Raw genomic sequence first — 14,860 nt, 5'->3', positions numbered from 1 at the left:
TTTTGTATATATTGTCCAGGGTTTTTAGCTGTACTTGGAGGGATAGGGAGGAGTGCATCTACTTCATATTGTTCCAGAACCAGCAGTGATAGGTTAAATAATGTGCCCAAAGCTACACAGACAGCTGGACCACAGATCAAACCTGGGTCTCCTCTACTTTCACTGTAGAATACAGTATTATAGACAATATAAGCACTGTTTAAGTTGTTAGAAGTTATGGAAGATAGGGAAAATCAGATATGTGCTATGTGCCAGGCATTGTTCTGGACACCGGGGTGGGGGAGGGGGGATACGGCAGTGAACATGAGACAGTAAACTAACAGCTTAATATATAGTGTGTCAAGTGATAATACATGGTCTAGAGAAAAGTAAAGTAGGGTGAGCAGGAGAAGGAGTACCACCCCAGGGTTGAAGTAGTGGTTACTTTATACAGGATGATTACAGATGGGTTACCTATGAGCCTGAAGGAAAGCGAGGAAGGGAACCATGCTGGTAAGTAGGGGAAGAGTGTTTCAAGTAGAGGACATAAAGGACCCAAGTGGGGAGCAGACCTGGCATGCTACCAGTCCAGTCCAATGCTATTGGAACAGAGTGAGTGAGGGGAGAGTAATAGAAGCTGAGGTTAAGGGTCAGGGGTGTGCAGATCATATACAGCAGTGATTTTCCAAGTATGGTTCCCAGACCAGCAGGATCAGCATTATCTAGGAACTGATTAGGCCAATTCTTGGATCCCACCCCAGACTGACTGAATCAGAAACTCTGGAGATGGAGCCCTAGAATCTGTGGTTTAACAGCCTTTCAGATGCACGCTAAAGTTTAAAAACCATGGGTATAGGGTGTAAGGACTTGGTTTTTACTCTGGATGGGAGCCACAGAAGCTTTTTGAGCAAGTGAGAGTTGTGATCTGATTTAGGTTTTGGCTCTTGTGAGGATAGACTAAAGGTGAGGAGCAAGGTAGAAGCAGGGAGAATTTCGGGGCTACTGTAGATCATTATTCCTTAAAGTGTGGTCCCTGGACCAGCAGCATCAGCATCACCTGAGAGGTCATTAGAAATGCACGTTTATAGGCCCAACCCAGTCCTACTGAATCAAGATGTCTGGGGATGGGGCCTAGGAATCTGTATTTTAACAAGCTTACCAGGTGTTTCTAATATTCCCTAAAATCTGAGAAACTTTGGTCTAGTTAGGCAGTGGTGGCTTAAAGCAGAGTCAGTGATGATGAGAAGTGGTTGGATTTTGAATATATATTGATACAGGATTTGTTAATAGATTGGATTGGGGTTGTGGAAGAAGGAACTCAAGAATGACTCAATTTTGAAGAATTTGGTGTAAAGGGGACTAGAGTAATGGGGCAGAGACTGAGGGGATCACAAAAGGGTTTTTTGTTTGGGTTTTTTTTTTTTTTGGAGATAGAACAGTCTGTCTGTGTGCATGTCAGTGCATATGAAGTTATTCCGTTGGTGCATCCAGAATTCAGTGAAACCTGTTATATGACAAACTCATAAAGGAGACACTTCCTAGGTACGCTGGAACTTGCTGTGTCCTTTGCATTCCTTTAAGTCCTGTGTGCCTGGAGTTGGAGGGGTGGGGCGGTGGGAATGGTGGATGCTTCAGCTTCTGGTTTTATAGATGGTGCTCTGTCTGGACCTGGATCCTTGGGTACCCTCAGAAGGCAGAGGTTGAGGAGATAAGAAGCCAGACAGGATCTTGAGCAAAATCATCATCTCTCAGGCATCTCCAAGTCTCAGCTCCCACTCAGTTCCACATCCCTGGAAGAGTTGAGTGTCCATTTTGGAGTGCTCATAACACTTGACTGTATTAATCACCCCACATTATATCCTGGTTACATATTGTAGTGATATAGTAGAGTCACAAAGTCCTGAATTTGTATCCTGCTCTGCTACTTAGTAGTTTTGTAATTGCCAACAATTTACTTAACCACTCAGACCCAGATTTCTCATCTGTTAGATTAGGATAATATTAACGATGATGATGATGATAGCTAATACTTAACATGTGCCAGGAACTTTAAGTACTTAACTATTTTAGCTCATTTAATCCTCTTAACCACCCTGTGAAGTGGGTACTATTAGTACTTCCATTTCACAGATGCAGAAACTGAGATGCAGAAAGGTGAAGTATAAATTGCTTAAGTTCACATAGCTAGTGAGTGGCAGAGGTGAGATTCAAACCCAGGCAGTTTGGCTCCTAAGCCTGTACTTTAAACCTCTGCTTCTGTGTTTAATGTCTGTGAATGTTGTACGGAAGGCCCTGATTTGTTGTGGAGATTAAATGTGATAATATGTGAAGTTCATAGCTCAGTTTTTTTCTCAGTGCCTTTTATGCTAACTTCAAATTCATTCACTCACTATCCTGTTACCTTGCTTTACTGACTTTATAGCACTTACGAAACTGTTTTGACACTGCCTCTCTGTCTCCCGCTCTAAAATGTCCAGTCCATGAGGGCAGTGTCTGCTCAATCAATATTTGTTGAATTTATGCACTCATTTACTTAACAAATACTGCTTACCGTGTGCTTGGCTTTGCAGTATACCATGGGGATAACTCATCTTAATCACAAGACCTGGTGCTATAATAATTATCCTCTTGACTAAGGAAGCTACTCAGAGCAAATCAGCATTTACCACCCTTGGTCCCAGGTGGTAACTATCGAGACAGTGCAGCCAGAAGCCCGATTTTTCATTTGTCTGCCTCCCTGATATGAGGAGTTGTCTAGCACGTTGATGTTTGTTGAATAATAAGTAAGGCAAGACTGAGAGATGGGAAAGGTGAGGACTTTTGGTAAATAAGATACACTATCTGGCAAATGTAGTGGGGACAGACAGCAGGTAAGTGAGCAATTCCAAGGCCTCGTGGTGAAGGCTGAAATAGGGATAGTGTTGTGGGGGTGCCACAGCAGCAGGGAAAAGGAAGAGCAGGAATGTTCCAGGTAGAAGGAGATACCTGTGATGAAACCCAGAGGCTAGAGCTAGACAGAGTATGGCACCGAGAGTCCGCTGGCTTTTTAGAGCAGAGCTGGCTTCATGGGTGTGCAATCGTTATAGTCACATGGTGCCCCATGCCTGAGGTTTAATGTTCTGTGGTGGTTGTCTTGAAATTCTTAATAATTTTGCCTTTGATTTTGTGATTGGTATGTGATGGAACAATGGAGTGTGCGCTGGGGATTTAAGAGTCTTGGCTCATATGTGGTTCTACCTCCTGCTGCCATTCTACCTCCCCGAACAGGTTCTTGGCTAGCTGCCTGGGGCACTGGGCCCAGGTGCAGGTGTGGACAGAGTCGGTTGGGTTCATGTACCCTGTGTACTAAGTCACCGGGCAGGGCCCCAGGGTACTTGTGTGGGCCTGCACTCGCCCCTTGAGTTATCCCTATACCCAAGGGAGCGTGACAGTAAATAGCATATTAAAACTGCATGGTAAGTTGAGAGAGAGACCATGGAAGAAAGGAAAAAGCTTTTCTATTTTTTGAACAGGGAGCTCCCACTTTTCATTTCCATTAGGCCCCACAGATTGTAAGTGGGCTATGCAGTAGGAATGTCTCCCCCAGCATACGCTGTGTGTGAGGGGAAAGACGTGAGCTCAGCCAGAGAGGCAAGGCCTTTTGGGCCATGGTAAGTTTATACTTTACCTTAGGAAAAATAGGGACCCTGTGAGGCATTTTAAGCATGGGTTGATAGGATCAAATTTGTGTTTTTAAATGATCACTTTGGCTGTAGTGTGGAGGGCCGATTGGGTAGGGACAGAATAGGGGCCAGGAGTCCAGTTAGGAGGGCAGGACAATAACTGAGTTAGAGATAATAGTGGCCTGAACTAGCGCAGGGGCAGTAAGGATGACAAATTAACACAATTGATAGCTAATAAAGAGAGTTGATAGGACATGCTGATAACTTGGATAATAACAACAAACATACACAGCACTTACTATGGGCCAGACACTGTTCTAAACACTTTCTATATATTTAGTTCATTTGCTTTTGATAACAACCTTGTGAAGTAGGTACAGTTTTTATCCCCATCTTACAATGAGGAAACTGAGGCACAGAGAGGTTAAGTAACTTGTCCAAGATCCCACAGCTAGTAAGTGGCACAGCCAGGATGCAAACCCAGAGAATCTGGACCTAAAGTCAGTGTTCTTAACTTGATGCTAGAACGTCTACTTCAGGGTATAGTGGAGGGAGAGGGCTAGAGGTGAATCAGTGATGGCTGCCAGGTTTCTGGCTTGAATGCCTGGTGAGGTTATGGAGCCATTTGCAGAAGTGGGAAACCTAAGAGAAGGGAGCATGTTTAGGTGACAGACAGAAGGAGAAACTGAGTTTGGACATGTTGAATTTGAAGTACGTAAGTGGCTATCCAGTAGAAATGTCTCACCCAGGAGACATTTGGAGGGAAGGGTCTAATCTGGCTTGGAGTTATGAGTGCATAGAGGGCACATGGAGCCCTGGGAGTGAGAACAGTGAGGAAAAGTGAGGAGAAAAGAGTGCCCAGGTAAGAGGACCTAAGAAACTTCAACATTTAAGGACTGGGCAGGAGAAAAAGAGTTCATCGGGAAAAAGGAACAGCCAAAGACATGATTAAAATCACATCACATCCCTACTCATAGTGGCTGTTACTCCCCAGTTCTTGTGGCTACCCAGGAAAAGCCAGAGTGCTTTACAGTGGCCTACAACACCCTACTACATGAGTCTATTGCCTTTCTGACTTATTACTGTCCTCCTACCTCTCTACTCTAGAACACTCTCCTCCTCTCTGCTACCTTCGGAGTCTAGGGATGCTCCCACCACAGGGCTTTTGTACTTGCTGTTCTTATTGGGATGCTCTTCCTTCATAGCCACATGAGGGGCTTGCTCCCTTACTCCCTTTGGGTCTTTATTCAAAAGCCATTTTGTCAGTCTTTCCCTGTCTTCCCTATCTAATATTTCACCCTCACTACCATTCTTCCTGGCCCCCCCATTGTGTGTGTGTGTGTGTGTGTGTGTGTGTGTGTGTGGTGTGTATAGTTATATATTCACACATACATATTCCTCTATATCCCCCTTCCTGTTTTTTTTTCTACCTAGGTCTTCTCACTATCCAGCATACAATGTGTTTCACCAATTGCATTGATTTATCTTGTTTCTTGTCTGCCTCCCCACTAGAACATCAGCTCTATGAGGGCAGGGATTTTTGTATGCTTTGTTTTTTGTCTTCGTCTCACCAGCACCTAGACCAGAGCCTGGCGGATGCTCATTAAATGTCAGCTGAAGGAATGGGCACCAGCCAGATGGGACGTTATAGAAGTCAAGGATAGAGAGCTTGTCAGGTGGAGAGTGTACAGGGTTGGCAGGGCGAAAATGGTGCTAAGAGGTTAAGGGAGATAAAGCAGAGAAGTACTTATTGCATATATCAACAAGGAGGTCAGGAAACCAGTGAGATCTATTTTAAAGAAGGTGGGGACTAAGATCAGACTAGCAGGAGATGAATCACAAAGTGCATATAGCAACCCTAAAAAAGTATCGATTTGGCTCTGATAGAACACCTCTGGATACTACTAGGCAGCTAAGGGTGGGAGGGAGACTTTTTACTGTATATACTTCTGTACTCTGAGTTTTGCACCATGTACAGCTGTTACTTATTCAAAAGAGGAGTCATTATCAAGCTTCGTAGGTTTATTTACTTCATTTTTAAGCTGCATAGGTTTAAAGAAAGAATGTGTTTGGCTGTGAAGGGGCGGACAGAAGGGAGGGAGGATGGGAGGGCGGGTAGGTCTTGGTTTTTTAATTTGTAAACATCAATAGACTTGTTTAAATGCTATTGTGAAGAGAAAGAGAGAGATTGAAGATACTGCAGAAAGAAGGAATAATTGATTGAGAAGGTAAGAAAACATGTGACCCAGGTGGAAAACTTGGCTTTAGAAGGAAGGAAAGATAGTACTTTTGTTGTGATAGGAAAAAAAGGATGGGTGTAGAAGGAGGTAGATTGGTGATGAGAAGTTAAGGTAGTTCACCTCTGATTACTTAATTTTCTCTAAGAAGTAGGAAGTGCATCGCTTCTTGGTCTTTTGGCTAAGATCAAGTGTAGAAGTAGGAAGTGGCTGGCATGATGGCTCACACCTGTAATCCCAACACTTTGGGAGGCTGAGGTAGGAGGATCACTTGAGGCCAGAAGTTTGAGACCATTCTGGGCAACAAAGCAAGACCCCCTCTCTATAAAACACACGTACAGACACAAATTAGGTGGGCGTGGTGGTGTGTGCTTGTAGTCCTAGCTACTTGGGAGGCTGGGGCAGGAGGATCACTTGAGCCTAGGAGTTAAAGGCTGCAGTGAACTATGATTGGCACCACTGCTCTCCAGCCTGTGCAACCCAGTGAGACCCTGACTCTAAACAAAACAAAACAAAAACATTAAGGAACTCAAAGAATGAAAGCAAAGAGTGCTTAACAACAACAACAACAACAACAACAAAAGCCAAAACCAAAAACCAGAAGTAGTAGGAAGCAAGGTAATTTTTGAGAGAGAAGAGGCAGGTAGTGGGGTGAGAGATTTGACACAGCCACAGTAGATAATGAGAGAGAGTTGAGTGGGGAATTTCAGAAGGATTGTCAGGCAGCATGATCCAGATTTTTTTTTTTTTTTTTTTTTGAGATGGAATCTTGCTTTGTCGCCCAGGCTAGAGTGCAGTGGCATGATCTCGGCTCACTGCAACCTCTGCCTCCTGGGTTCAAGCTGTTCTCCTGCCTCAGCCTCCTGATTAGCTGGAATTATAGGCGCCCACCACCATTCCCAGCTAATTTTTGTATTTTAAGTAGAGATGGGGTTTCACCATGTTGACCAGGCTGGTCTTGAACTCCTAACTTCAGGTGATCCACCCGCCTCAGCCTCCCAAAATGCTGGGATTACAGGCGTGAGCCACCGTGCCTGGCCAATCCAAATATTTTGGACAGTGAATTTATGATGGCACCAATCCAATGGGTTATTTTTCTCTAGCCACATCTAGTGGTCTAGAGTTAGGTAGTTGTACTGAGCCAGGGTTAGGGTTTGCATATGGGGATGAAAGGCAGTGGGGCAAGTGAGGGTATCTGTAAGAGAATGATTGAAGTGAGGAATGCTGGAATCTCAACTAGATAGGGAAGGAGGGTAAAGTCAAGAATGTGTGAATAGGTGAAAAGTATGAGGATAAAGAGTTTTGAGGGCAAAGAACAGGTTGTAGTGAATGAGAGCTGGATAGATAGACTTGTGGTCAGAGAGGGCGATGTATGAGTTTCATATTCCAGAGGTACAGCAGTTGCTGGTGTTGACAGGGTCTGGGGGATGGTCATGAGAGTTGGTAGCTGAAATGGGAGTAGAGGTAACAGTCTCTGAAGATGAGAAGATCAAAGAACTAAGTGCCTGGAATGTTGTGTCTCCAGATGGATACTGATTTCATGTAGGATGTTGTCAGGACTCGGGATGGGGAAGATCTGAGCAGGTTCTTCAGCGAGTGAAGGGGTGTGTTGGGGAGATGGGTATGTGGCAGTGATGAAGAGGAGTAGGAAGTGGTATGGCTGGATGGTGTGGAACTCAGAGGAGTGGGAGCTCTTACACAAGGGTAGAGGAGAGATGATCTGGAAGTCTCACCAGAGAGTGAGAGGGATGGCTACCCACAACCCAGTCCTGAGTTATGAGGGTATGGGAGAATGTGCAGCTATAAGGGCTCTAGCACAATGCTGCTTAGATTTTCTGTGGCAAAGAACCAAGGCACTTTTAAAATTTCCAATCTATAATGGGCCGATCCTTTTATGATATAAAAAAAGAATTACTAGAAAAAAATGGTATGAACCGGCCGGGCGCAGTGGCTCATGCCTGTAATCCCAGCACTTTGGGAGGCCGAGGCGGGCGGATCACGAGGTCAGGAGATCGAGACCATCCTGGCTAACATGGTGAAACTCCATCTCTACTAAAAATACAAAAAATTAGCTGGGCGTGGTGGTGGGCGCCTGTAGTCCCAGCTACTCGGGAGGCTGAGGCAGGAGAATGGCGTGAACCCAGGAGGCAGAGCTTGCAGTGAGCCAAGATCGTGCCACTGCACTCCAGCCTGGGTGACAGAGCGAGACTCTGTCTCAAAAAATAAATAAATAAATAAAAATTTAAAAAAATGGTATGAACCAAAAGACATATAAAAGACAAGCCCAAAATTTTATTCTTAGATTGAACGGATATAAAATTATTCTGTTAAATTGCTGTAAAAACTTCTGCATAATAGTGATGCTTACTCTTACTTTCTGTACTTACCACAGACCTGTAGTAAATAGTTCACAGACCGGCATTAGTCTGTGGACCACACTTTGAGTGGCACCGGTGTAGAGAAAATGATTTTCCCGTAGGAGAAGCTGCATTCAGTTAAGCCTGGAAGGTGAAGGAGTGTTTGTTGAAGAGAGTGCCAATGTTGAGCAGTTTGTTTACCAAGTTGGGAAAGGGGATGAGCAGCGGGTGTTTAGAGTAGAGAAAGCACATAGCCACATAGGGTGAAAGTTTAGGGGAGAGAGAGGTGTCCAGAGGGAACAGGGGTATGAGATAGAAAGCATGCAGTCCAGGGAACTGAGTTAATGCTACAAGGTCTGGGGAATATCTTTGAAGAAGTTTTAGGCAGGTGAAAGGTGAGGTCCGGACTGGACTTCTAGCACTTACTGTGAAACCGGATACTTACTGTGTATCAGACTTTATGCTCACTGTGCTACACACATTAGTATTATTTTTGTAGAGATGGGGTTACCCTATGTTGCCCAGGCTGGTCTTGAACTCCCGGCCTCAAGCGATCCTCCCACTTTGGCCGCCCAAAGTACTGGGATTACAGGTGTGAGCTACCGCGACTGGCCATGCTGTGCACTTTATATACATTATCTTATTGAATCCTTAAAAACCCTACAAAGTTGATGGTGATATCCCTAGTTTATTGATAAGCTGCTGGTTTATAGGCATGAGATTATTAGTTGGGAATATATTTAGTTGGGATATTGGGAAGATTATTAGTTGGGAAGTCCTAATCCCAGGAAGTCCATTTATGAGCATGATCTTGGCTGAAACAACTTGAGCTCTGCCTTAATGTTCTCTGCTGTGTGTGGTAAACCAAACATTTTAAGACTTGGGTCTTCTTTTTTTTTTTTTTTTTTTTTTTGGAGACAGGGTCTTGTTCTGTCACCCAGGCTGGAGTGCGGTAGCACAATCATGGCCCACTGTAGCCTCAATCTCCTGGGTTCAAGGGATCCTCCCAGCTCAGCCTCCATGCTCAGCTAAATTTTTTTGTTTGTTTTGGTAGAGATGGGGGTCTCAATTTGTTGCCCAGGCTGGTCTTGAACTCCTGGGCTCAAGTGATCCTCCTGCCTCGGCCTCCCAAAGTTCTGGGATTATAGGTATGAGCCACTGTGACTGGCCTAGGTGTTTAATTTTAGCAAGAATTTATTTGGAGGGCTGCTGGTGCCTTCCCTAGTAAGGGAAGGTTGAATTTTGTGAGATTACCACCTCATATACATGCAAAGTCAAATTTTCAAAATTAAGTAAATCTTTTTAAGTCTTTAAAATGTGAAATAAGCAACAGATGTTTATTGTAGGAAATTAGAAGCACAGATAAGATAAAAAGGATTATCTGTAATTTTTCATTTAGAACTACTGTTGACTATAAATTTTTTTTTTTAGTCTTTTTCGTTTAATAAAGTATCTCAAGTTTAAAAATTAGGTTATAAGGCTGGGCGTGGTGGCTCACACCTATAATCCTAGCACTTCGGGAGGCAGAGGCAGGTGGATCACTTGAACTCAGGAGTTTGAGACCAGCCTGGCCAATGTGGTGAAACCTCGTCTCTACTAAAAATACAAAAAATTAGCCAGGCATGGTGGCACATGCCTATAATCCCAGCTAATTGGGAGGCTGAGGCAGGAGAATCACTTGAACCCAGGAGGCAGAGGTTGCAGTGAGCCATGATCACACCACTGCCTAATACAGTAACCCCTAACCACATGTGGCTGCTGAGCGCTTGAAATTTTAAATTTTATTTAATTTTAATGGATTTAAACATAAATAGCCACATGTACTTAATAGCTGTTCTACTGGACAGCACTGTTCTAGACCTCATAAAAAATAAAATTTCCATAAACCTTGGCTGTTTTTCTCTTTTTCAGTTGTGTTGGTGTTGAAGAGGAGAAGGCTGCTGACATTGACCTCTACCACTGCCCCAACTGTGAAGTCTTGCATGGGCCCTCCATTAGTAAGTAGATCTTAGGGTTTCCTAGAGAAGACAATCCAGAGGAGAGACAAAGGAAAGGAAATTTGGGGGAGTGATTGCTTTTGCCTGAGCACTTGTGATTCTTCTTCCTCAGGAAATAGCAGAAGCCTATGCAGGCTCCACAGGCCAGCACCTATCTCACTAAGAGGACAGAAGTTCATAACTTCACCTCCCTCCCTTCCTAAGGCTTATCTAGAGAAAGTACCCATCCATCTTCACCAGGAACTTTCCTGAATCTGTGAGGGCCTCATTGACTCCAGATGCTCCAAGGGGTGGTTAGATTGGAAGAGAAGGATCTGCTGAGGCCTTTGTTCTTGGTATCATAGCTCATGACCGTTCTGACTCACAATCTCTCATGTTTTTCTGGCTTAGTGAAAAAACGCCGTGGATCTTCAAAGGGGCATGATACACACAAGGGGAAACCAGTGAAGACCGGGAGCCCTACGTTCGTCAGAGAGCTCCGGAGTAGGACTTTTGACAGGTGAGGAACCCTGCCTCCAGTGGCTGGTGAATGCCAGGGCTCTGGGAAGCTGGAACTCACCTCTTCCCAGCTTTCCCAGTGGCTGTCCCATTAGGAGCTTCCCCAGTTTGTGAGTATCTTCAGGGCTCTGCAAATTCCTTCTGGTTTGGTCAATTCCTGGAAAACTTCTGGTAGTTGGGAGGCAGTATTCACCTAAGTTAGATACTTACATTCATCCAAGGAATGCTGACTAGAAGGAGTCTTAGGATCAGAAAGTTTAATTCTCTCATAGAGAAGAAGAAACTCTTTTAATATAAAAAAATTATTGGTCATATATCTCTTTTATGATCGAAAAGAGGTTTTATCTTTTTAAAATTAAGCTGGCCTTGTTAAAAGTAAATTACATGAAATAAGCAAAAATAATGAGTTAAAAAAAGGAACAAAGCATTCTCCTTTGCTTGGTTTTTTAATTCAGTAGACCATGTTCAGGTTTTTTAAAAATAATTGCAACTGGCCGGGCGCGGTGGCTCACGCCTGTAATCCCAGCACTTTGGGAGGCCGAGGCGGGCGGATCACGAGGTCAGGAGATTGAGACCATCCCGGCTAAAACGGTGAAACCCCGTCTCTACTAAAAATACAAAAAATTGGCCGGGCGTAGTGGCGGGCGCCTGTAGTCCCAGCTACTCGGGAGGCTGAGGCAGGAGAATGGCGTGAACCCGGGAGGCGGAGCTTGCAGTGAGCCGAGATCCCACCACTGCACTCCAGCCTGGGCGACAGAGCGAGACTCCGTCTCAAAAAAAAAAAAAAAAAAAAAAAAAAAAAAAATAATTGCAACTTTGATTTTAGATTCAGGAAGTACATGTGCAGGTTTGTTTACGTGGGTATATTGCATGTGTGAGGTTTGGGGTGCAAATGGTCCCATCACCCAAGTAGTGAACATAGTACCCAGTAGCTAGTTTTTCAGCCCCTTCCCTACTACCTCCCTCCCAACTTGAGTGGTCCCCAGTATCTATTGTTCCCATCTTTGTCTATGTGTACCCAATGTTTAGCTCCTACTTAAAAGTGAGAACAAAAGCAGTATTTGATTTTCTGTTCCTGCATTAATTGGCTTACGATAATGGTCTCCAGCTGCATCCATGTTACTGAAAAGGACATGATTTCCTTCTGTTTTATGGCTATGTAGTATTCCATGATATATATGTACCACACTTTTCTTTATCCATTCCACTGTTGATGGGCACCTAGTTTGATTCCATGTTTTACTATTGTGAATAGTGCTGCAGACATATCAGTGCATTCGTCTTTTTAGTAGATGGTTTATTTTCCTTTGGGTGTAAATCCAGTAATGGGATTGCTGGGTCGAATGGTAGTTCTCTTTTAAGTTCTTTGAGAAATCTCCAAACTGCTTTCCATGGTGGCTGAACTAATTTACATTCCCACTAACATGGTATAAGTATTCCCTTTGCTCTGCAGGCTTATCAGGATCTGTTATTTTTTTTTTTACTTCTTTTCAGGTTTTCTGTAACCAAAGTGTTAATTGGAATAAGTGTTCCTTCAACTTAATGTTTCTTGTTTTATTTGTTTATTTAAAGGCAGAAACTTCTCCTCTCTACTCTGGACTCCTCAGGTTCTTTCTCCAAAGTCAACCCGTTATTTGTAGATCCTTTCAGAAATGGTTTTTGCATATACAAACATAGATTTTTTTAATTCCTTTTTTTGACACAAATGGAAACAACTATATATTGTTCTGTATCTTGCTTTTTTTTAAAAAAATATATATTTGAGATCAATCCATAATAGCACATACAGATGTTCTTTTTCATGGCTGTTTAATATTACATTGCATGGTGTAACATTTATTTAACCAGTCCTCTACTGAGGGACGTTTAAGTTGATTCCAGTATTTTGCTATTAGAAAGAAATACTGTAATGAATATCTTTGCACTTAAGTTTTTGCATACGTTGCCAGTTACATCCATAGTGGCTATACCATTTCACACTCCCACAGATAATGTGCGGAGGGTGCCGATTTTCCTATATCCTAGCCAATATTTGTTTGTTTGTTTGTTTTATTTTATTTATTTATTTATTTTGAGACGATGTCTCGCTCTTGTCCCCCAGGCTGGAGTGCAATGGCGTGATCTCGGCTCACTGCAACCTCCGCCTCCTGGGTTCAAGCGATTCTCCTGCCTCGGCACCCCGAGTAGCTGGGATTACTGGCGCCTGCCACCACGCCCGGCTAATTTTTGTATTTTTAGTAGAGACGGGGTTTTTACCATGTTGGCCAGGCTGGTCTTGAACTCCTGACTTCAGGTGATCCACCCGCCTTGGCCTCCCAAAGTCCTGGGATTACAGGTGTGAGCCACCGTGCCCAGCCACCAATATTATTTATTATCAATTTTTTTTTTGCCTTTCTGATAAAATAAATCGTGAAATCCTGCTGTTCCCACTTGTACTTCTTTTCTTTCTTTCTTTTTTTTTTTTTTTTTTTTGAGGCGGTGTCTTGCTCTGTTGGCTAGGCTGGAGTGCAGTGGTGCAATCTCAGCTCACTGCACCCTCCGCCTCCTGGGTTCAAGCAATTCTGCCTCAGCCTCCCAAGTAGCTGGGATTACAGGCACGTACCACCATGCCCAGCTAATTTTTGTATTTTTAGTAGAGATGGGGTTTCACCATGCTGGCCAGGCTGGTCTCAAACTCCTGACCTCAAGGGATCTGCCCACCTTGGCCTCCCAAAGTGCTGGGATTACAGGTGTGAGCCACTGTACTCAGCTCACACTTGTATTTCTTTAATTATGAAGGAAATAAGTAGATTTTTTTTTTGAGACAGGGTCTCATTTGAGACAGGCTGGAGTCGGGTGGTGCAATCACCACTCACTGCAGCCCTGACCTCCCTAGCTTAATCCATCTTCCCACCTGCGCTTCCTGGGTAGCTGGGACTACAGGTGTGTGCCACCACGCCCAGCTAATTTTTTTTTTGTATTTTTTGTAGAGACGGGGTTTTGCCATGTTGCCCAGGCTGGTCTCCAACTCCTGGGCTCAAACAATCTGCCTTCCTTGGCCTCCCAAAGTGCTGGGATTACAGTTGTGAGCTATTGCACTCAGCCTTAGATTTCATACATTTATAAACCAGCTTGATTGTTTTCTCTGTGAACTACTTGCTTGTTTTATAGGCATTCTGTTGTGTTACTATTACTGATTTATAACAGCTTTCTTGGAGAAAATTTTAATTTCTATATGGTTAAGTTTATTACTATTTTTAATGACTGCTGGGTTTTTCCCAGGTTTTTCTACTCTTAAAGCTTTATTTTTTGGAATTTAATCTTTGGACCATCTAGGATTATGTAAAGAATGAGATAGGCAGGCCAGGCACAGTGGCTCATGCCTGTAATCCCAGCACTTTGGGAGGCTGAGGCGGGCAGATCACCTGAGGTCGGGAGTTCAAGACCAGCCTGACCAACATGTAGAAATCCCCTATCTACTAAAAATACAAAATTAGCTGGGCGTGGTGGCGCATGCCTGTAATCCCAGCTAGTCGGGAGGCTGAGGTAGGAGAATCGCTTGAACCCTGGAGGCGGAGGTTGTGGTGAGCCGAGATTGTGCCATTGCACTCCAGCCTGGGCAACAAGAGCAAAACTCTGTCTCAAAAAAAAAAAAAGAATGAGATAGGCATTGAGCTTGAGCTTAATATATTTGTCCCAACACAAGTTGTCAGAGTTGTCAAATACAAATCTTTCCTCCACCATGATTTAAAAGAAAACTATTTTCTGCACCATGATTTAAAGAAAACTATTTTCTTTCTTTTCTTTAAAAAAAAAAAAAAAAAAAAGACAGGGACTCTCTCTGTCACCCAGGCTGGAGTGCAGTGGCATGTTCAAAGCCCACTGTAACCTCAACTCCTGGGTTCAAGTGATCTTCCTGCCTCAGCCTCCCAAGTACGTAGGACTGTAGGCCTGCACCACCATGCCCTGCTAATTTTGAATTTTTTTGTGGAGACGGGTTTAGAAATGATGCCCAGGCTGAAACTCATTAAGTATGCACGTTGAGAAAGTTGTTGTATATGCATGTTGAGAAAGTTGTTGTAAAAATGTTGTTGTTTTGTTTAAATCAGTCTTTTCTCTTTGACAGTGTTTTAAATTGGGTAATGCTGCTC

The 14,860-nt window shown here is 43.6% G+C and overlaps 1 protein-coding gene across 12 annotated transcripts in view; it reads left to right on the top strand.

The window, feature by feature from the left end:
• Nucleotides 1–14,860, top strand: part of PHF8 (PHD finger protein 8) — a 112,257-nt gene that overhangs the window by 15,947 nt on the left and 81,450 nt on the right. For all 12 annotated transcript variants that reach the window (XM_005261996.2, XM_011530778.2, XM_047441934.1 and 9 more), the window contains 2 exons: nt 10,147–10,232; nt 10,623–10,731. In XM_005261996.2, coding sequence (XP_005262053.1) covers nt 10,147–10,232; nt 10,623–10,731 — 195 coding nt within the window. The remainder of the gene's footprint in view (nt 1–10,146; nt 10,233–10,622; nt 10,732–14,860) is intronic.

The sequence above is a fragment of the Homo sapiens genome, chromosome X, assembly GCF_000001405.40.
Source record: "Homo sapiens chromosome X, GRCh38.p14 Primary Assembly".
Classification (NCBI taxonomy): domain Eukaryota; kingdom Metazoa; phylum Chordata; class Mammalia; order Primates; family Hominidae; genus Homo; species Homo sapiens.
This window is presented reverse-complemented; position numbering and strand designations above follow the sequence as displayed.